This window comes from Homo sapiens, chromosome 14, assembly GCF_000001405.40.
Source record: "Homo sapiens chromosome 14, GRCh38.p14 Primary Assembly".
NCBI lineage: Eukaryota > Metazoa > Chordata > Mammalia > Primates > Hominidae > Homo > Homo sapiens.
In genome coordinates this window covers 70,976,162-70,999,387 of record NC_000014.9, presented here as the reverse complement: position 1 = coordinate 70,999,387, position 23,226 = coordinate 70,976,162, and the positions used below count along the sequence as shown (strand labels likewise).

The following is a 23,226-nucleotide window of genomic DNA, read 5'->3' as shown; positions in this document are numbered from 1 at the left end:
TTTCAAAGCATTTCCTCACCCCAACCACTAATTTCATACACAGAAAAAACCACAGGCAATGTTTCCTGTTCTATCTGATCTCATCTAGAACATTTTGTTTGAGATGTTGTGTTACAAATTAAGAGTGTAACTACCAGCTATAATGGCAAGTTTCATCACTGCATCAACTTATTAGTCTTAATTTATAAGAGAAAACTAGGATTAGTAACTGAGAAGTGCCAAATTCTATAGAAAAGATTAGCAGATATAAAACAGAACTTTAAGGCTACCTGATTCAGTCTCTTGTGTGACTTAATCTGGGCATTACTAAGTCACAGCTTGTTTTATTTAGAATTTTTGTAGTTTAATTCAGAAAACAGTATAAAATCAACAACAAATAGCAATTCCAACAAAAGACCAATCAGAAGAAAATTAACCCTTAATATGTGGTCTTTAAAATAAAGAGCAACATATTACATTGAAGAATTTGAGAAATTCTGATAGAAATATCATTTCCAAAGATATTAACTTCCAAAACTCATCCAACACTTAAGTCATTTGAACCCAATTTCTTTTTAATTAGGTACACATGGAAATGAAAGCTATAAATAGGAAAGAAAACTATGTCAGTTTTTCTTTTTTTTTTTTTTTTTTTTTTGAGATAGGGTCTCACTCTGTCACCCAGGCTGGAGTACAGCGGCGCAATCTTGGTTCACTGCAACCTCCGCCTCCCAGATTCAAGCAATTCTTGTGACTTAGCCTTTTGAGTAACTGGGATTACAGGCACGTGCCACCATGCCAGGCTATTTTTTGTATTTTTAGTAGAGATGGGGATTCACCATTTTGGCCAGGCTGCTCTAGAACTACTGACCTCAAGTGATCTGCCCGTCTTGGCCTCCCAAAGTACTGGGAGTACAGGCATGAGCCACCGAGCCCAGCCTAAGTTTTTCCTTTTAAATTAAGCCACTTATAATTCAAATTCTAAAATTAATCATGATTAACAATTTTGCTTGCTGAATACAGATGATACAAGTACTTTTTCCTCTGTTTAATAAGCTACTAATAAAATCCTCATAATACTATTTTTAGTGAATTTTTCCATGATGTCTGATGTTCTCTGGTAACCTTAAAATGCCAGAGAAATAAGGATTCTCGGGGTTTAGTATAGGAAATGAATATGGTTACCTATTGTGACACCACAAAATAAAGATGTAGAAAACACAGTTTAGGAAAACTATCTAGGCTTAGAATTAAACAATGTCTGATTCAGAGTTTTTTTTTAATGCAAAACAGCATACGTACATGTACATACACAAACATATGCACTCAAACATGTATGTGTGTATGTATGCTTTATATAAACAAATTATGCATATGCATATACCTTCACATGTAAAAACTGGTTAAAAATTTTTAATAGAGGAAGCTAAATTTGGAAGGAAGCAATCCTGTGTAAATACTCCACTTTTAGGGAATATCATAGCTAACTTTAATATATTTGAGTATAAAGTACCCAAATTCATTCACGTATTTTCATTCACATAATTCACTGCTAATTAAAATCAAGTAGAAAATTAAACCACACAACAAAACTATTCTAGCTTCTCTACCAATTCCTTTAAGTTCAGTTGCAGTTCATTTTCAGAATCTTTTTTGGCCAACTTTATAGGCATTGGAACAGGTATACACTCCATTGATTGTTTTGTGCTAATTATTACTAAGTATTCAATTTGGCACCATTCAAATACGATAGAGCGAGACCTAGTTTAAGGTGGCAGTTAACAGAAAAGATAAAATCCAAATTACAAGAGAATATCCTGAATATCCACCAACAGATGCTAAAGTCGTCTCCAATCAGAAGAGGTTTTTTCAATCTTCAGAACTGGAAAGGCAGTTCATATGTAAGTATTTTCAATAATTGGCATGTGGATTTAGAATGAGACTTTATCATTAAAGCTTGCTTAACAAATTTTTTGAGCAAACTAAGAATTCTTATGGAGGACAATCATCTACTGTTTCATTTTATGCTTGATCTAAGTCTAAAACTCTGAAAGGGATTAAAATGAAGCCTTTTATTTTAGCTGATCTACTACTATAAAGCCAATGAACAATGAGATGGTAACTGTAATTTTATATCTGCAGATTCACAAAAATCCTTTGGGTTGAGCAAAGAGAAATAGCAATATAAAGTTATTACATAACTGAATATATTTACAACTGAAGAAGTATTGCTTACAACTAAAACAAGTAGCTAAACTGGAGTCTACCTCATTCTCCCTCAAGCAGCCTCCTTATAAATATTCTTGCCTCTACAAATTACAAACTCAAAAGCAAAAGCATTCCAAATTTAAAATGTTTTATTGCTTTCTCATTTTATTTAGAAATCACCATACATTCTAATGTTATAAATATCTTAGATTACCATTTTCAAGTGTCTGTGAGATCTGAACATGACACTTTTCATCGATATGCATACGTACTTAATACCTCTCTACAACTCAGCATTTTTACAAAATAGAAAAAAGAGTCAATGAATAGGTAGCATATAAAATTTTATTAAATCCTAATTTGGGCAACTTATACCTCATATCCTTCCAGTTGAAACAGTAACTGGATTATCATGTTTATAAGTAAAAAGCAATTATAACATGAATAAACAAAATCACAATGAGTAAATGCTTTCAAGTGAATTATTTCTGAATAACTAGATTTTCTTCATTATATTTACTTAAACCATTACTAACCTGCATTCTGAGAACAAGACAGCTAGATTATACAGAGACACAGAAACCAAAGTAACATAAAGTATCACCCTTAAATAATGCATAAGACAGATATCTGAGTAGGTATGTATCACTGATGTTTAATGATATCACACTTCTGAGAATTAATTATTCAATAATTTATATGTTTATAGATATATTGACAAGAACAAGAAATAAACTTTATAAAGTTATTATGTGACATTAGTACGGAGCCATGATGTCCTTAGAGTACTGTATTTTGAATTAAAATAAAACCTACTACAGATGACGAACATAGTGTGAAATATAGAATATCTTAAAGAAAGATTCTATAGTGGCAGACAATTAGAAAGCACTTTTCCCTTTCCTAAAGCACATTCAAAATATTCAAAGAAATTAAAGTTTAGTAAGAAACTTTTTTTTTAAAAAAGTCAACGTTTTCTCCTACATGGTACAAATGCCTGGGAAAAACAGAATTGAGTGTGAACATATATTAACACTTTAACTACCTATTAAAAATGGACATGACCAAAAGAAAATGCAGAATAAGAGTAGAGAGAAACAGAAAAGGAAAAAGCAAAAAGTCACATTTTCCTAACACATAGGGTAAATCCTATGTAAAAAGTGCTCCTATGCATAGTTCCAAAATGAAACTATCTCAAAAAAGAACTGCAATTGTTACCCATCATCTGCTGCATTAAAGTTTTTGTATCATCAAGATTACATAAGGCCTGCATACCAAGTTCATCGTGCAAACTGCTACCGCCTACAGCAGATGCATTGTCATGTGATGCTTCTAAGTGGACACTCCCATTTCTCACCAGCAAGGAGGCACTAGCACTGAGCACTGCAGCCTGGGAAGGGGGGCGGGACTGGACTTTGACCTGGGCTGTGGACTGCTGGCCTTGCTGACCATCTTGAAGGCTAGGAAAAAACATGGATTGGGGAGACATTACAGGGAAGAAAAGAGAAAACAATACCTAGAATGAAGTCAACATAGAAAACTGATTTCAAAAAGGCACTTTTTTTCAACATAACCTAAGAAAGCGCCAACAAACTTTGCAAAATATACAGATTACATTGCCAACTTAAATCTTCTGGTCCTTACAAATTTGATTTGAAGAGACAAATGCAGTCAACATTAAATGTACATGTAAATTGGTCAATCTGCGACTTTTTTCCACCTCAAGCCAACTAAATTCTAGTGTGAGGAAAAAGAAAGCAGCAAAAAAGAATCATAAGTACATTCAATATATGTGTGCTGCAGCTGGCCCCAACAGATAAGCCCTATGTTTCAGTTAAATATGCACTTTCATTTATAGCCTTGTAATAACTCTAGAATTGTTCTTTCAAATATTCTGAGATCTCAAACTCACAATAAAACAAGTTTATATGCACTTGAAAACCAAATAATCTTATCAAATGCAACCAAAATAACAATCTTGAATCAAAAAGAATCACAAACTAGCAAGAAAACCAGAATAACTGACTCAACCAATGAAATACAAATTGCCATGGAATATAGTCAGAGGTAGACTTAATATAAAGTGTTATCTATAAAAAGCTTACATCTTTCTGAAATAAGGCCACGTGCTTTATATACAAGTATTAGTTACGTTCCCATAACAAATTTTGTTATTTCTTCTTCCAAACCATATTCCAGTCTCATTTACATGGATCCATCATTTTAGAAAATCTTTAAAATAATTGGGAAACTAGTAATTTCTCAAAGGATATTAGGCCTAAGTTTGATACAATTTTTAAATACTTGGTATTTTGAGATTAAAATTATTTATTAGAAATTTTAATACAAATTATCCAAATTAAGAGACTATATTAACTTATTTTATACTTTCATATTTTTATGATACTATGAATTTTAATGTTCTCAGTATAATATTTAGTCAAATTTAAACTGACAAAACTCATGAAAAAATGTTTTGAGTATAATTATTATTCTCTACATGATGTTCAATGCAACTCTGCAATCTGTCGATTGAAGTTTACCTTTAACAATCCCAGAGTCTGCAACTAAAATTATTAGACCTCTAGAATGAATAAAAGAATCCTACTTAGAATGGCCTTATTCAGTTACTTTATCATTTTTCATGAGTATCAACATCTCTCTAATCCTTTGAATTCAATGTAATTGTTTCTCTAGTACACATAAAACAAACTCATGTATTGCAGAATGACCATGAAATAAAAGGCTATGTTGAAACATACATACATACATATATATATATATATATATATATATATATATATCTTAAGCCTGTGGTTATGATAATAGAATATATTCTGGAACTATGCTGTCTGATACAGTAGCCTGTGACTATCCAAATTAAAACTTAAGTTCCTTGGTCCTGCTAATATTTCAAATGCTCAGTAACTACATAACATACCTAGTGCTACCAGAGCTAATAGCTACCAAAGCAGGCAGTAGTGAGTAGTTAGTGTCTACCATATAGAACAGGGCAGATTATAGAATATTTCCATCATCCCAGGAAGTCCTATTAACCTGCACTACTTCATTTCACCAATGAAAAGTACACATTCCAGGCAGAGGATAGGAATGCACACAACATATGAAAAAACTAAGTCTACAAATGTGGACTTGTCAGTCCTTACTGGCATTATTTTTTAAGCCATAATGATAAAAGTATTTATTTAATAATTTCTTCAGACTGGAATATTTGTAGAATAGATATAAATCAACAGATAAATCTTGGGAACTAATATAATCAGATAAGGTTTTCATCTTCCATACATACATAATTTGTTACTCTTCCTCAGAATCTATCTAAACTTATCCACAAACCTTACCAAAAAGGACAAATTTCACAAGGAAGAAAATACTGAGAAAAAAATGTTTAAGTAGTAGTTCAGGTACCACGTCCCTGTGTCCCTTCCGATTCAGAAGACACAGAATTTTACAAAATACGTACTCAACAAATTTTTCTATCGATTTTTTTTCACTTGACATCATAAGCCAAGTTGCCATATGGCAGCTAGATGTATTTTGGCATGAACGCATTTGAGTATATGCTCATCTTCAACACAGAGATGCACAATGTATATCCAATATACAAAAAGGTTTTTAAGATATTAGACAATGCATAAAAATCAACACCAGAATTAAAAATAAATAAATAAAATTAGCCAGAATCCATGTGATTATAAACATCAGGGTTTTGACTATCAATTTAATTTTTATTAAATTAATTTAGACAATTTGGCCAGGCACGGTGGCTCACACCTGTGATTCCAGCACTTTGGGAGGCCAAGGCGGGTGGATCACAAGGTCAGGAGATCGAGACCATCCTGGCTTAACACGGTGAAACCCCGTCTCTACTAAACATACAAAAAAAAAAAAATTAGCCGGGCATGGTGGCGGGCGCCTGTAATCCCAGCTACTAGGGAGGCTGAGGCAGGAGAATGGCGTGAACCCGGGAGGCGGAGCTTGCAGTGAGCCGAGATCGTGCCACTGCACTCCAGCCTGGGCAACAGAGCAAGACTCTGTCTCAAAAAAAAAAAAAATTAATTTAGATAATTTTTATTAAAATTTCTAATAAATAAATTTTAATCTCAAAATACCAAATATTTAAAAATTGTATCAAACTTAGGCCTAATATCTTTTGAGAAATTACTAGTTTCCCAATTATTTTAAAGATTTTCTAAAATGATGGATCCATGTAAATGAGACTGGAATATGGTTCGGAAGAGGAAATAACAAATAAATGCTGATGTCTCTTGAATTCCTATTGTCACAATCCTCTAACAGAAATAAAAAAGTCCATTATTTTCACATAACTTGTTAGAAAACATATTCCTGGAGGGCTGCACTTTATCCTAAACTAATAATGGTACAAATAAATCTTTTTTTACGCTTCTATGTCAAAACTACCAGTTTGAGTAAGGGTAGCAACTATTTTATAACACTGCAAAAGAAAAGGTAGAAATTTAGGTCTAAAACTATCAGCTATCACTAGCACCACTGACATGCAATCTTAATTGTTAACTTTTCTACTATGAATGACTGAAAAATAGTTGGTCTTCGTCTTTCCTTCTGTATCACTTAATTGGCACTTGACACATTCTGTTATACTGCTAGTTACCTTTCTATGTGTCTCTCCAACTAAAATGTAAAGTCTAAGAGTATGATTACATTATTCTTATATGTCTCTATATTCTAGAAAAACCCAGAAGAGTGTTTTGAATAAAGTACCAAAAAAAATAGTTGGTGGATTCATTTCTGAGCACCACAAAGGGACCCCTATGAATTCCTAATCATGAATTCTCAGTTATTACTATGACCTTATTGTATTACAGATTTTTTAATCTTGTATTTTAAAAAATAAATTTTAAGAATACACTAAAGCGTTTTTCCCCTTCCCTGAAATGCACTGATGATTTCATTCCATTCCAGGCAATTAACTAGAATTAAAAAGATAACACATTTAGGATGATAAATGCAGAACTCTTAATATTTGTATTATAAATATTTTAAATATTTGTCTTTTTTAGGCCTACTAACTGGGAAGAATTAGCAAAGGCCAACAAAACCCACCTATAAAGCGCACAATTTTTTAAATAAAACTTTAAAAAATAATTCTGAAACAGTATATTCTTATAAGCATTATAAAATAAATGCAAATTCTCTTTGTAAGAAAATTGATAATTCACTCCCAATCCTTGGGGACATATATTTTACCAAGTTGCCTTTTGGGTGGTCACTTACATATTCATTAAAGTTTAAAATAAATTAGTATATTTACTAGTATTTATATAGCACTTGTAATGAAAGTGTTGCCACATCTACCATTTCTTTTAGATAATTTTTCCAAATTTTAAATGACCATATCATCCTATACTTATTTAAAGACGAGATTACTATTCTGTAACTCACACTGAGGAATAACACCAATATACTTTACCTGAATTTTTTTACAGTTACAGAAGATGAATAAATTGGTGTTTCTCCCTAATTCCCCACAGATAAATTTTATTTTACTTTACCCATGATGAAATCAGCTTATTTAAGATATATGCAACCTTTGTACTAGGAATATCCTGGAACCTCAACAAAAACTACAAGCTGATTATTAGAAGACTACTTTTCAAAAACTATAATGTGAACCCTTTAAAAATAAGTAGTAGGGGCTGGGCGCAGTGGCTCATGCCTGTAATCCCGGCACTTTGAAAGGCCAAGGCGGGTGGATCACGAGGTCAGGAGTTCAAGACCAGCCTGGCCAGCATAGTGAAACCCCATCTCTGCTAAAAATCCAAAAAATTAGCTGGGCATGGTGGCGGGCACCTGTAATCCCAGCTACTCAGGAGGCTGAGCCAGGAGAATGGCTTGAACCCAGGAGGCGGAGGTTGCAGTGAGCCGAGATCGCGCCACTGCACTCCAGCCTGGGTGACAGAGCGAGACTCCGTCTCAAAAAAAAAAAAAAAAAAAGGTAGTACACAACATCCTCATTTGAATGGTAATGTATTCCAAACCCTAGAAAAACATGGGAAAATTGTATGTGATTGGCTGGAGTTAGAACATTAGAACACAGCTCTTTAATATTCCACCTAGTAGAGGACAAAAAACTAATTTGTCTGCATATGTTTGCTAAGTGGTATCCAGCAGGCTCATTAGTGGCAAAGAATGAAATAATTTTTAAAAACTGAAAAGCAAAAGTTAAAAAAAAAAGTTTTATATAAACATGGAGTAAGAAAGCAAAAAAGTTGCCTTTGGCAAGTATTATTCAAGGGGCAAAAAGAAGAGGTTAGAAACAAAATAGAAAAAGTAAAATAAAACGCTGAGCTCTTTCTACATGTTGAGACTATGCTCCAAATCCATCAGCAGAAAGAAAAGTTACTTCAGGCAGGAAAAGGCAAAGTAGAAAGGAAAAAGAACAGGAAGGCTCACAAAAACAAAGGGCTCAGAAAAGGTTTCTAGAACAAGTGTTTCTGTTAAATTGATTGTCTTCTCATTTTTCTATTTTAAATATTGGTTTAATTAATCCATATTACTTTTTATAGAATTTTGACTTACTGAAGAATTAATTAGGAACATGATCTATGAAAGACGAAGTTCTTTTTTTTTTTTGAGATGGAGTCTCCCTCTGTCACCTAGGCTGGAGTGCAGTGACGCAATCTTGGCTCACTGCAACCTCCACCTCCTGGGTTCAGGCAATTCTCCTGCCTCAGCCACCCTGAGTAGCTGGGACTACAGGTGCGTACCACCAGGCCCAGCTAATTTTTTTTTTTTTATTTTTAGTAGAGACGAGGTTTCACCATGTTGGCTAGTCTCAAAACTCTTGACCTCAGGTGATCCGCCCACCTCAGCCTCCCAAAGTGCTGGGATTACAGGCATGAGCCACAGCGCCCAGCCTTTTTATTATTATTTTTTTTTAATTTAAAAGAGTTTTAATTGAGCAATGAACAATTTGTGAACTGGGCAGCCCCCAGAATCACAGCACATTCCGAGATATTCCAGAGGTGCCTCGTTAAAGACAAAGTTCTTGACTGTAAAATCTAGGAAAACAAGCAAGTCTTAAATCTCAGGGGAGTATGAAATAAAATATTTTAAAGAAACAAGGATTTTGCTTGTTTTGAGAACAAGGTTTTAACAAGAGAAGGGGTTTATCTGTTCCAACCTACCATGCACTTAACAGCAGTTATTTCATCAAATGTTCTTCCTTTTGAATTTGAAATTAAAATGTAGCTAGAAAATAATTTGTAAAATGGTACTTTTGGGACACAGAGGCTAATGAAAGTATTTTGTATAATATATGCACTGCTTAAGCAGGCATATGTAAAGTATGTATATCCATTTTTGGGGCAGAACGCAGTGGCTCATGCCCCTAATTCCAGCACTTTGCGAGGCCAAGGCAGGCAGATTACTTGAGGTCAGGAGTTCAAGACCAGCCTGGCCAACAAGGCAAAAAAACCCTGTCTCTACAATAATATAAAAATTAGCCAGGCAGGGTGGTATGCACCTGTAATCCCAGCTCCTCGGGAGGCTGAGCCAGGAGAATCACTTGAACTTGGGAGGCGGAGGTTGCAGTGAGCCAAGATCACGCGACTGCACTCCTGCCTGGGCAACAGAGTGTCTCAAAAAAAAAAAAAAAAAAAAATTTATATCTGTTTTTGTATTCTTAAAATAAATTAAAGCCCAAGTCTTTTGGATAGATTTTTATATTTCTAATTCAGGGCATAGATTCAGCAGATTTGATGTAATTAAGAATAAAGTAGTTACTGGAATTTTAATGAAAAATTATCCACAATGTTATGAATGGATGCTTTCTTACTTAGGACTACTGGAAAAAGTAATGATGTTTTTGTTTACCACAATACAGAGCTTGAAAAATTTAATAAATATATATAAATATATATCTCTCTCCAATTGACCACACTTTACATAAATTATGTATGTTAGTTCTGTCATTTACCAGATCCTGATGATTATAAAAGGCACCAAGTTTTAGGCAATATAAAATAAATCATATCATATTTTAGTGAAATAAAACAATCAAACTGGCTTATCAAGTTTAAGTGAATTATTTGTTATTCCTCAACAAGCTCACCACTCAGTTTGTATTTGTTCATATTATATTAAATACTGTCAAAATATTGGGGAAAATATTGCATGATTATTAATTTGGAGTGGGAGAAAAAAAAAAAGGAAAGCTGACTAAGGCCCACTATATACATCCTGTAACTGCCCTCAAGTGATTTAAAATTGACTAAACCAATCTGATCATTTTACTTAAACAGTGCAACATAAAGCATGCATAATGCAACAGGCTCATGGTCACATGCAGAAAAAGCCAAAAAGGGCTTAAATGTATAGGAAAGAAACAGAAAGGAAAAGAAAAACAAAGCTCTTCAAATGCTTTCTTGGGACTGGCGGAACAGATTAGAAGGGTTGTTACATGCATGCTAAACTTGGTGGAATTGAAAATACCATACCTTAGGGGTGATCCGATGAGCAATGTAGGAGGGGTAGGGTTACTCCCTGCATTGTGCCGGCGCCGTACTGCCTGGCGCCTAAATGTGCTGCGTTCACGGCGAAATGACACTGCCTCCTCGCTGGCTTGTGCTGCTGCATCAAGACAGACTTAGGTCAAACAAGAGCCTAGGTCAGAGATGTAAATAGCAGCTGAGCCTGGCTTTCCCTTGACTTCCCACCCTCATGGGTAAAGTGAACTTATTAATCCAAACTGTTTTCACATGTATACTGTCAATCTATCATATCAGGTAATACACAAAAAGTATCTGTCATTTATTTAAAGAAAATTGTTTCTTTAAAAATAATGTTTTTGACTTATTATCTAGCCTTGCCATCTTCTCTTCAACCTCAATTTCCTATTTTTAAGATCTCTGTTGTTTAAATCTTTTCCTGAAAGTTTCATTTATTTTGGTCCCATATTCCTCTATTACCCCGTTAATTAAGTCAACCTTAAAAGCACAGTATTGATTAGTTTCCACTAATGGGAAGAGGACATTAGTTTCTTATATTCGTATTGTAAAAGCAGCAAAGACAGTATATTTCACTGTTGATGACAAGGAGTAAGGCAGTAAGTTTATCTCACAGTACCCTGTGCCATAATTTTGGCAGCATTAAATGAAACCTCTGGTTGTGAAGCTGCAAAACCAGTGTGTTAATTCAACATAGCATGAATATATTTTACTCTAAAGGTACTTCATTACCATCAAACTTTATTCAACTCCATGCCCCTGGCTCTGGTCCTCTCAACTTTAGGAAGCAAATATTGGCAAATTGGCAAGCACAGGAACTCATAGCTTAATCTACAAAAAATAAAGTACAAACAAGCAAAAATGTTTGTACTTTATTGTTTGTACTTTTTTTAGTTTGTACTAAAGCCAAGCATACAACATGAGAACATCACAACAATGGCTTAGTAGAACTACACAGATCTTACAAAACCACAAAAATTGACCGATTTGGGTTTCTAAAGCAAAATGTAAAATGATTTTCATCCATTTAAATATAAAACAAAACAACTGTGTGATCTAAATAATTTGGGAATCATTTTGCTTTTGAGAAAGGGCATTTTGATGCTAAATATGAATAAAAACACAAGTTAGCACAGAAACATTCTTTCCAAACATGAAACTTCCTTTAAATTCCTTTACTTGTGGGGTAAAAGTCCATGTATACAAAAATTATATATGGCCTATGACAGCAAAAGATGCTGATTAAATCCGGTCATCTACAACTGTTGTCCAATGCAGTAGCCATTAGCCATATGTGGCTATTTAAACTTAAATTAAAATTAAATAAAAATAAAAATTCAGTTCCTGAGATTGATGAATCATACTTCAAGTGCTCCGTTGCTACATGTAGCTAGTGGTTACCATTACTGGACAGTGCAGATATAGAACATTTCCATCATCACACAAAGTTATATTGAACAGTGCTTATCTAGAAAGATAAGGTTGCCTTTTTGTGACCACAGCTACAAGGCACATTACATACTTTGCCAATTCCTGACAACCATGACTTCAATGAAATGAAAATGCAATCAGCATTGCCACAAAGGAGAAAACATGTATTAGGGAAGGGCAATCAATGGATGAAGGATGAAACAAAGCAGAGAAGAAAACAAGCCAATTGAGGGAAGAAATGAAAAATCAGATGAACAATTGGTATACCTGCTAACAGTTCTTAGACACCAATAAGGTTTAACTCAGGTTATGGAATTTAAATCACTATTTTAAAACTCAATTCAAGAATTATTTTGTGAAATATTATATTAAAGATTTCTATTCTACAGTTGTTACAAACTATTATGCTATTATTTATAAAGCATTATTTGTAACAAACTACTATGCTCAATTTACAGGTCAATCCAACTACATCAAGAAACTTTCAAACATTTTTTCTAGTTCTAGATACTGTTTCAGCCAAAATAGCAGAGTAAAATTTACCCAGACATAATTTATAGAAGATAATTTAATCCATAAAATGTACCAAAATTATTCTGAAGGATTTGGGATAAAAGCAGTACGTAATCATACAGAACAGGAAGAAGAGAAACATGAGACGGTTTTCTTTACTATCTTCCTTCTACTGAAGACTTAATGGTGTTAATCTTAAGTAAAAGCTAATTATTCCATAGTACTGGGGTGAAAAGACAAACTACAGTGTCCACTTTTAGTCAAAATGTTTCTTGGTTTCTTAAGAAAACAATTTTTTTTGCTAGTAATACACCATTTATATTTTGTTATCTGCAAAATAGCTGCATATTATGATGCACTTACTTTCTTAACAGTCTTGGAAACACATCAAGAGGAAAGTTTAGGCATCCAGTGAACAATGTTAAAGTGGAATTATGATTACTGTCTATGCTGTCTCTTATAATATTCAGGGGGTAAACACCTACTGTTACAAGAATTTTCAAAATGTTGACTATGGCAACTGCTTTAACAGTATCACACATTCAAGTGAAAATGCTATATTACAATTTATGGTCACAGTATGTAAGATTAAGCCATGCCCCTGGGAATGTGCTACTTACAGAACATCTCTATTTGGAATAGTCGAGTAGGGGTCCAGTTCTATTCCAGCCAAAGAGGGAAAATGTGTCTTTAAAGCTTAAAATAATTTGCTGTAAGCACATACAGTCACATATGTTATAGCCACACTTGATAAATATTCCCTTCCAGAATCCAATTGTAATAAACTCTTTTTGAATTGTTTAACTTTATAGAAGAAAAATAGTGAACCAAAAAAAAAAAATTTAATCTTTTAACTAGGGAATCAGAGAGAAGGGAGAAAATACTTTAAAAACTGTTTTTGGAGTTGACATTTTGACACTGCTTAAAACCCAGTATCTCTGGCAAAGAAGAATGAAATTAATTCAATAGTAAGAGCATAAAATGCAGATAGTGAAAAATTAGCACTCTAGTACAACTAAACTTTATGCATGTGTAGGTAAAAAAGAAAAAACATGCAAGCAATTCAAAAACCGTGAATGACAAGAAGTATAAAATACTTCCAAGGGTATATATCCAGAGAGTTGTATATTTTGAAATGTATTTTTTCTAACGTACAAATCTCAACTTTCTAATCATTTATTTGTGTTAAAAAGACTGACTTCACAATCATAATAAGTTTAAGAGGAACCTTCAGGCCTGGCGCAGTGGCTCACGCCTGTAATCCCAGCACTTTGGGAGGCCGAGGTGGGTGGATCACCTGAAGTCAGGAGTTCGAGATCAGCCTGACCAACATGATGAAACCCTGTCTCTACTAAAAATACAAAAATTAGCGGGTGTGGTGGCAGGCGCCTGTAATCTCGGCTACTCGGGAGGCTGAGGCAGGAGAATCACTTGAACCCAAGAGGCGGAGGTTGCAGTGAGCCAAGATCGTGCCACTGCACTCCAGCCTAGGCAACAAGAGTGAAACTCCATCTAAAATAAAATAAAATTAAAAACAAAATAAATAAAATAAAAATAAGAGGACCCTTCAGATAATTTAGCTGTTTCCTTTTGTTATACTGATGCAATCACTCAATTAAGTTTAAGCATTTACTAAATGCCTAAGTTCAATTCATGGACAAACCAAAAATATCCTCTTACATTTTAGACAGCTGTGATCTGGTCCATTCCTGAAGATAACAAAGGAAGTTTAATCCATAATACATACCTCCCACCTCAGGAGTTACTTCACATTTATCTCAATGAGATAAGGAAAATTCTACACATTCTAAAATGAATTATTTTAGTGCAACTATTTATTTTTTATGGTAGTATTACAATTATAGACTATCAGTTGGTTCTACTCTGTGAATAAAAGCATAGAAAGCATTAAAGGCACTAATATACTTTTAGAATAGCTGGGATGCCCAAAGAGCAAAATTTAATGAGGTAGGAGGTAATGGCTATCCAAATTCTATCTCAAAAATTGGAAGCTGTGAGTATAAATACACACAGATAAAGATGCTATTTAAAAATGATGTCGGCAGGTCGCGGTGGCTCACGCCTGTAATCCCAGCACTTTGGGAGGCCGAGCCAGGCGGATCACAAGGTCAGGAGACTGAGACCATCCTGGCTAACACGGTGAAACCCCGTCTCTACTAAAAATACAAAAAATTAGCCGGGCGTGGTGGTGGACGCCTGTAATCCCAGCTACTCGGGAGGCTGAGGCAGGAGAATGGCGTGAACTCAGAAGGTGGAGCTTGCAGTGAGCCAAGATCGTGCCACTGCACTACAGCCTGGGCAACAGAGTGAGACTCCGTCTCAAAAAAAAAATGATGTCAATCATATACCTGATTAATTTATGAAAGAAATAATATGTAATAAGTCACTTTCTAGTTGTCATGTACTGCTATGGTTGGCATCTTGCAGTAGCTCAATTTCAATTAAATTAATAAAAATTTAGACAGAGGAAATTGCTCAAGTGTTCTTTCCAGTGAGAAATGTTTATCGTGGGGGGAAAAGGTGTAAATCTGGAAAGATCACGAAAATAAAAATAGGCATTTAGTACTTCAAAAAGATCAGAAAAAATGCTATTAGGAAATTAAATTCTTAAGAAAGATGACAAAAGTATGAAACAAGTATATATATATCTCAGAAAAAGAAAAGGCATCTGCAAACATTCTGAAACACATTGTAATGTTCAGGATAAAAGGGATTTTACCCAACAACAAAATTACTATATAAAGACATAAACATTCAAGTAATTTTGCAAAAACATTCTAAAAGGAATGTTTTAGTCTAGGCATGAAATCCACTTTATCTAAATAGTTTTTCCCTTTCTTAGTTTCTTTGTCAGCCAAGAACGATGCTACCATCAACATACAAAGATTTTGTTCCAATGAAAAAACAAATGCTTTTCAAGCTCATTCTTGTTGGAAATAACAAAAAATAAGTAAATAAATAAATGTTTTTAAGTGTCATTTTCTGGGAAGCCAAACACTGCCCAATTTCTAAGCATCAATTCTGAATTAAAATAATTTCCATCTGTGAAAACATTTTAAAGGACTGGCCTACTTTTTGACAAGCCAAGGAACCAGAGCAAACAGTAACAAAATTATTAGCTATGGGTGGGCACGGTGGCTCACGCCTGTAATCCCAGCACTTTGGGAGGCCGAGGTGGGCGGATCACAAGGTCAGGAGTTCGAGACCAGCCTGGCCAATATGGTGAAACCCCATCTCTACTAAAAATACAAAAATTAACCGGGTGTCGTGGCGGGCACCTGCAGTCCCAGCTACTCGGGAGGCTGAGGCAGGAGAATCGCTTGAACCTGGGAGGCGGAGGTTGCAGTGAGCTGTGATTGTACCACTGCACTCCAGCCTGGACAATAGAGTGAGACTCCGTCCCAAGAAAAAAAAAAATTATTAGCTGAGCTTTGCGTTAAAGATAATTTGCACATCCTTACTGATATTTTCCACAAGTCCACCAGCCAAACAAATATAGCTTAAGTATTACTTATACTTTTATAGGTGATTTCTAATCCTTTTTAGTCCTTTGTGAATGGGATGAAAGATATCAACCCGTTAGATACAATTTTGCATCCACTTTCAGGAGAGTCCCTTAATAAAGGGTCAGTAGTGATGAACACATGTATTCGAAGTGACATTTTTGAGAGGGGACACATCCTTACAAATGAAAGACATCACTGTCTTTGTTTATATAATGAACCTACAATACATAAAGCATTTTCACATTTCTACAGTCATTAGGTTTAAGCTCATTGGAGTCTGACAGTTAACTGTGAGACAGGTCTAGACGGTTATTATTCCTGTTTTACAGTTGAGGAAATTGAGGCACAGATTTAATGGCCTGCCAGAATATTAAGACAGTAATTAGAGGTGGTATGAAAATGTAACCGTTGGATTCCCAGAACTTCACTGCTGAGAGAAAGAAAAACACTGTAATGTTTGTTCCTACTTGAAAAAATCTGGCATGGGCTGGTTTTGGGAATTCTATATACAAACATTTATTTGCTTCACCAATAAACACCACTTTTCTTGATATTGTTGTAAAGGAAGATAATTTTGCCAAACCTATTTTGCTGTATTTAATAAGCATTCTTCTGTGCAGTTTTATATATGTCTAAGCTTTTTTCACAGTAAAGAACATCTTTCCTTAATGAAATCAAGGTCAGCCACATATACAATGAGTATAGCATTATACTTTAATACAGTATTAAGTTATGCTATTATGATGTCTTTGAACACTATTAAAATGATAGTCTGTCCCTGCATTTAATGACCACACACCGCTGGGTTTCCTGCTTTGGCTTGTACAGTTATTACAGCTTCTCTTTTAGGGTTAGCTGTGTATTTCTTCTGCTGTCATTACTTCAGCTTCTATAAGTACCCATCCCTTCTACTAATTTACTGCTTCTAACTTTCCATGTGAACTGGGAAATCAGAAAATTAAGTTTATTAGACTTGAGAGTCCTTCTATTTAGTAAAGTACAAAAGCTACAATTTGCATTTTATTGTCTGTTTACTGGTCTTTATCTTCTGTCTAATGCTCAATGATATCTGGGTACAAAATAACACACCTTCAATTTATGTGTATAGCACAAACCCTCATAAATTTTTATTGAAAAGATCTGACTTTTCTTTAAATAATTGTTTCTTTGAAGATTATTTTTGGTTCCCAACACAATATTATATTAGGATCCTATTTCATGCTTACAGAATAGTGACTCAAACATTATATTTAAAATAAATTTCACAGAGAAATAGAAGTTAAACAATTCAGAAAAAAAGCACAAAGAATAGTAAGTAAACACAAACCTCTCCACTCGGGCTATTCTTTGTAATCCATTAAGTGACACAGAAAATATGCTATAACAACAGTATTGAATCACACAGGAAATAAGTTTAAACGGTCCAAAAGAAAACGACTTCCTTAAAAGTAATACAGGCTAGAAAACACAGGACATTTTTCTACCATATAGCTTCTATGTAGTTTTCATTTCTTAAAATATTAGTCATAAAGATATGCCTTATAATTTAAAAAGAAAAATTAAGTACAAAACAAGAGATCAACAGAAAATGACTTAGTTTGAACTTAAAACATATTTCCTGTCTCAGTAATCACAAACCATTATTGATGAAATTCAGTTTTAACCAAAGAACTTGACTAATGACAGGACGTATGAAAACAATCACTTGTTACGTGACTAAAAAAGATGTTATATGACATATTACTGCCAAAATAAGGTCCATGTCACTAAATTGATGTTAATAAAAATGTTTTTCCTATTGGCATTATGTAAGAAACTAGGGAATCAGAATTTTTTATTTTTACTATTGAGTTTCACAATGGCACACTTAGACTATCTCTAGTTTATTTCTACATTTAATCACTTTCTTCTACTTTAATTTTATACCACTGAATTAGTAAGGTTAAACGACAGGCTACACTGTGCAGCATAACTAACTGGCCTTGAACAGTCACAGCAGCACTAGTAAGCATTTACTGTGTGCCAGGAACTTAACTCCTTAGTCCTCACAACAACCCTATGAGATAGATACTATAATCATCTCATTTTAAGATGAGGAAGCTGAGGTTTGTAAGTAGCTTTCCTAGAGTCACAACAGTGGAGCCCACATACTAACAAAGGTATCTGACTCCATGTCACTAAACTAGATTACCTCCTATTTTAGCATACTTTATTTTAGTACTTTAAAGTCTATTTCCTAAATTCCATCTCTCTACACTACCACCACCACCTACCTTAAAATAAAATGAAAAGAAATCGTTGGAGAACTTATCGACACCTTCATATTCTTTAGGATAAAATCTACCTATGGTTTATGCATAGGTATATGAATGGCCAAGCAGTAACATGATGGTTGACAGGTTTCAGTAGTACAGTATGTAAGGAAGGATAGCCCAGAAACATTTCTTCTAAATTGTCAGACAGGACTGTAACAGATAATGTTAACATAAACAAGTATCTTTAAACAGTATTTGAGAGTCTCTGTAATTTTTAAATAATAAGAACCAAAACAAATCCCCTTCTACCACCTCCAACCTTTCAAAAAGCCCAAGTAAACTCCCAACAAAACCCCTATATTTAGTTATGATAAAAACCAATTAAAAAACCCCCAACACATTTAAGTGCTTTAGTTTTGCTCTTATTTGTATTCTAAACCCAATGAAGCTCAAATTAAAAAAGCCTGTGCAATGCCTGCCCCAGGCAAAAAAATGTTTTTAAACAGCCCACAGACTATTACATTTCTTCCACCAAAGCAGATATTTTTATTTCATTATCTCTTATTAACATTTAATTGAGTTATTTAAATTAAAAAAAAGCAGTACAAACAAAAGAAAACAAAAGCTAGAGCCTAGAAAAACAAGGGCTAATATAGCTTAAAGAACAGCACCGAGAAGCAAATAACACCTTTCAGGTAACTTTTCCTAAAAAACAGAACACCTCACAGTCCCCATGAAAAGGAAATGACATTTTAAATATAAACGCATGAATTTACTACATATTTTTGTACACATTTTTTCAGTATTTACATTTCCACAATATTCAGAACAGCAATATTTTTCTATCATAGCATGTTGACTTAAAATTCATTTTGATAACTTTAAAAATTAAGCTATATTTTAAAATCCAATGGTTTCTTGCATACTGTGAACATATCTGATATGATTTGTGTGAGAAATCACTACAAGCATTTCAGGTTGTTTACAAAAAAAAAAAAAAAGAGAGAACTATATCCAGGTCAAAGACTCGAGGGAATTTAATTACTCTACTGTCACCAAATGGTTATAACCACTTCAGATATAATTAGTTCTCAATATTTAGGTTTGATAAACTATATTCTTCTTTAGGTACTAGAAAATTTCTTTACGTTCCCATTAGAAATTAATCTGGCTAGAAACTTGACCCCCAAAAAAATCTAAGAAAATGTTTACCACAATATGGACTTTTAAAATACTTCGGGTGAAATTAACATCTTTGAGAAAAAGCATATATTCATATGTTTCATAATGTTTGTACAAACAAAATCCAGCTTAACTTTTAATAAATGACTGAACATTACTGTATCAAACAGACTATAACTTTAAAACTAATGATACAAGCATAAATAAAGGGAATAGGGGTAGAGGCTAAAAATGCTAAGGTACTAACAACAAAAGACCTGATTTTTCTGATTCTATTCAAGAAGCAGATTCCATAAAAACCAGAACCAAATAAACAAACTATCTTGGGCAGAAGAACACAGCAAGAAATAACTCTGAAATAAAGAGGCCAACACACACTGACAGAATATAAAATCACCTATCCAAATTTGCACAATTCTCCAAAAACCTGAAATAAATAAGCTATTACTTTAACCAGAACACCATCACTGTTATTATGGGGGCATCTTACATCAATTAATGGATACCAAATGTCAATATAAACTACAAATCTGAATTTAATAAACTTTAAGAATAATGTGTGAAATTATAGAAAAAAATAGTATTTTCGTAACGCCTAAAACTTGAGTAAGCAAGAAATAAAACCAAAGATACAGACTTAAAAAAAGAGCCACAATTCTCAATGTACATAATCAGATCTAAAGTAATATTTGTAAAACTCTTATATAATAGGCTGAGTGATCTAATTTTGAAAGTTCAGTGTCATATACTGTATAAGAGTTGATTAAAACTGGTTTGGTGCCCTTAAATAATTATATATTTTATTGTTGCTATTGCTATACAAAGGAAGAGGGCTAATTTTTGTTATTCCCAGCAAAACATTAACAGGTGGCAACTGGCTTAGAAACTGGTGTTCTTGACACCATCAAGAACAAATTGACGTATTCAAGTATTGCAACCAAAAAATATGTTCTTGGTGTTCATACCAAAACCTTTTCTAAGATAATCACCTACTTCTTCATTCAAGAAAGCTTATTTTAATAACACAGTGGAAGGGGGAATATTAACAGAAGCATATTTTAGTAAGTACTACTCTAATTAATAGTATGAAAAAGCAGTGAGTCTTACAGAAATCTCTTCTTACAGTTTACTTACCTCCACTGACTGCATCTTGCTCTTCCCCTTCAGGAAATGCAACCTGGTTTGGCAAGCTATTCCTAGATCGAGTGACTGTCTCTAACTGGGAAGCCCGTCCTAATAAAGATAGCTCATCTAGCACCTCTCCCTCTTTGGCCTCAAGATCTGATTTTGAAGTGGTTAAGGGCTTTATACTTTCAGGTGCCATTAACCTGTTTGAGTCATTCAAACATGCTACTGTGCCACTGTCCAGGCTCAACACTCGGGCACGAGTCTTGGCACTATTTGTGCTAGAAGTCCGTCGTGTTGCACGCTTTTTGCTGGTTCCTTCAGGAACCAAATGAGCTTTGTGTGTGTGTTCAGAGTCTGTGCCCCTTTCTTTATGAGTGTGTTTGGTCTTTAGAGCACTGTATCTGCCCTCAGGAGACTGACAGGAATGAGAAGTGGTGCTAGAAGAGCTATCACTGCTGAACTGGTGAGCAGACTGAACACTTGATGCTCTACTCAAGTCACTCTGATCACTAGAGTCTTCGTCATGACAAAATATAGCACTGTGTGGCTTGGTACCAGAAACACCTCGAAAGCAAACATAGTCCCTATGCCGGCTTGAATCAAAACTGCTAGCCCGTTTTTTTCCTGTGCGTCTCCTGCCTGACTTGTGGGCAGAAGCTGTCCGATGGATTACGCTAGAAGATTTAGGTCGAACATCCCCTTCCTTTTGCTTTCCACCAACATCTTTACGCACTTTGGAATCCACAGAAACAGCTGACTTATCACTCTTCTCTTCTTTGTTTTCTGCAGTGTTCCCAGGTGGTCTGTCCCCTTGGGAAGTAAATTCATTTGCATGGGGATTTTTATTGGCTTCTTCAGATGCAGAGGTGCTGAGACCTCTCTGGTTGTGCATCTCATCAGAGGGGGTGGGGTCCTTGGCCTCGTGAACCCCACTGTTGGTACTCGCTTCCATAGCAATCTTTTCACTGCTAGTCCTTTTGTCACTGGCACAGCTATTCTTCTCCTCTGGGCCTGCACAGCACTCTTTCTTCCTCCCACTTTTTGTTCCTGCTTTAGGAGACTCCTCATGCTCTGACAGGATGCTCTCTATGTGAGTTGAGCTGGTCTGCTCACTTTTATAGCTGCTGACAGTACTGTTAGTGTCCCGGTCCGTTCCACTGCAGTAGCTTTCTGTTGACCCACTACTCCGTGTGCTCAGGCTCCTCAAGCTGTCCATGCTTTTCTCTGCTTTCAAAGGTTTGCTCTTCCCACTTTTTGTGGGTGGCTGAGAAGTATTGATTTTCAAGTCACCAGCAAGCTGAAATTCCCCAGATAAACCAGAATTTTCCACCAAGGATTCTTTGGATCCAGAAAGAGGCTTGGAAGATTCTAACTCACTAACTGGATCTAATCCACGTCTTTGCTGATAAAGGGGAAAATCATTCAGTGAAGTGTCTGGAAAAGCCACAGCAGAGCTAGAAGTCCGTGGTACACCTCGCGGCCGGTGGTCTTTTCTATAAGAGTGTGAGTGTAAAGGTACAAGAGAAGCTACTTCTGTGTCACAGGCGCTGGACAGAGACTGATCAACATGGTGGTGGTGGTTATGACTTGGCAGGTTCACTTTGTCACTGAAGTCCCTTGGCAAGTCCTGTCCACAAGAGGATAAGGAAGGCTGAATAGAGATGAAGGAGTCATTGGAGACAAGACGAAAGAGCTTCCGATCAGCTGCCAAATCTGTTTCAAACACATATTTTGAAATGTTAAAATAAATGTATGATCTGCTTTTCTACTGTTTAACAATGGAAAGAATTCACTGCATACAGTAAATCAAGTATAAATAATTTCTCAAGTAGTTCTCCAAAGAGCTGCTTTCTGTTTCACAGCTGCACAAAGAAAGCATTCTACTCACGAAATGAACTGAACTTCCAAATCTTTGAGTTCTTCAACTGGCCTCAGAAAGAGTTGTATAGACTATCAACAATAAAATTAAGAGGAAACAAAGGGGCCGGGCGCAGTGGCTCACGCTTGTAATCCCAGCACTTTGGGAGGCCAAGGTGGGTGGATCACAAGGTCAGGAGATCAAGACCATCCTGGCTAACACTGTGAAACTCCGTCTCTACTAAAAATACAAAAAAATTAGCCGGGCGTGGTGGCGAGCGCCTGTAGTCCCAGCTTCTCCGGAGGCTGAGGCAGGAGAATGGTGTGAACCCAGGAGGCGGAGCATGCAGTGAGCCGAGATCGTACCACTGCACTCCAGCCTGGGCAAAAGAGCAGGACTCTGTCTCAAAAAAAAAAAAAAAAAAGAAAGAAAGAAAGAAAGAGCAACAAAGGACTATACTTAAAATAGGCCTGGATTTCTATGCAAGCTCTATCTCCAACTTACTAACTTGGTAACTTTGGGTTACCCCCCTGTAAATCTGTTTCCTCATCTGCAAAATGGGACATCAACTTCACTGAGTCACAGGCAAGGAATAACTGAGTTAATGACATATATTGCTTGACACAATGCCGTCA

At 35.1% G+C, this 23,226-nt stretch overlaps 1 protein-coding gene across 27 annotated transcripts in view; it reads right to left on the bottom strand.

Annotated features, from left to right (window-relative positions):
* Window positions 1-23,226, bottom strand: part of PCNX1 (pecanex 1) — a 207,924-nt gene that overhangs the window by 115,995 nt on the left and 68,703 nt on the right. For 11 of the 27 annotated variants that reach the window (XR_245673.5, XR_007063992.1, XM_005267420.5 and 8 more), the window contains 3 exons: window positions 20,740-22,446; window positions 10,689-10,821; window positions 3,463-3,647 (listed from right to left, as the gene is read on the bottom strand). Coding sequence is in view for 24 of the 27 variants with exons in the window: in XM_005267420.5 (XP_005267477.1) it covers window positions 3,463-3,647; window positions 10,689-10,821; window positions 20,740-22,446 (2,025 nt within the window). In the remaining 3 variants the exon portion in view is untranslated. Of the gene's footprint in view, window positions 1-3,462; window positions 3,648-10,688; window positions 10,822-20,739; window positions 22,447-23,226 lie in introns of those variants that run through there. The other 16 variants (XM_005267425.5, XM_017021096.2, XM_047431124.1 and 13 more) reach the window with 7 other exon arrangements.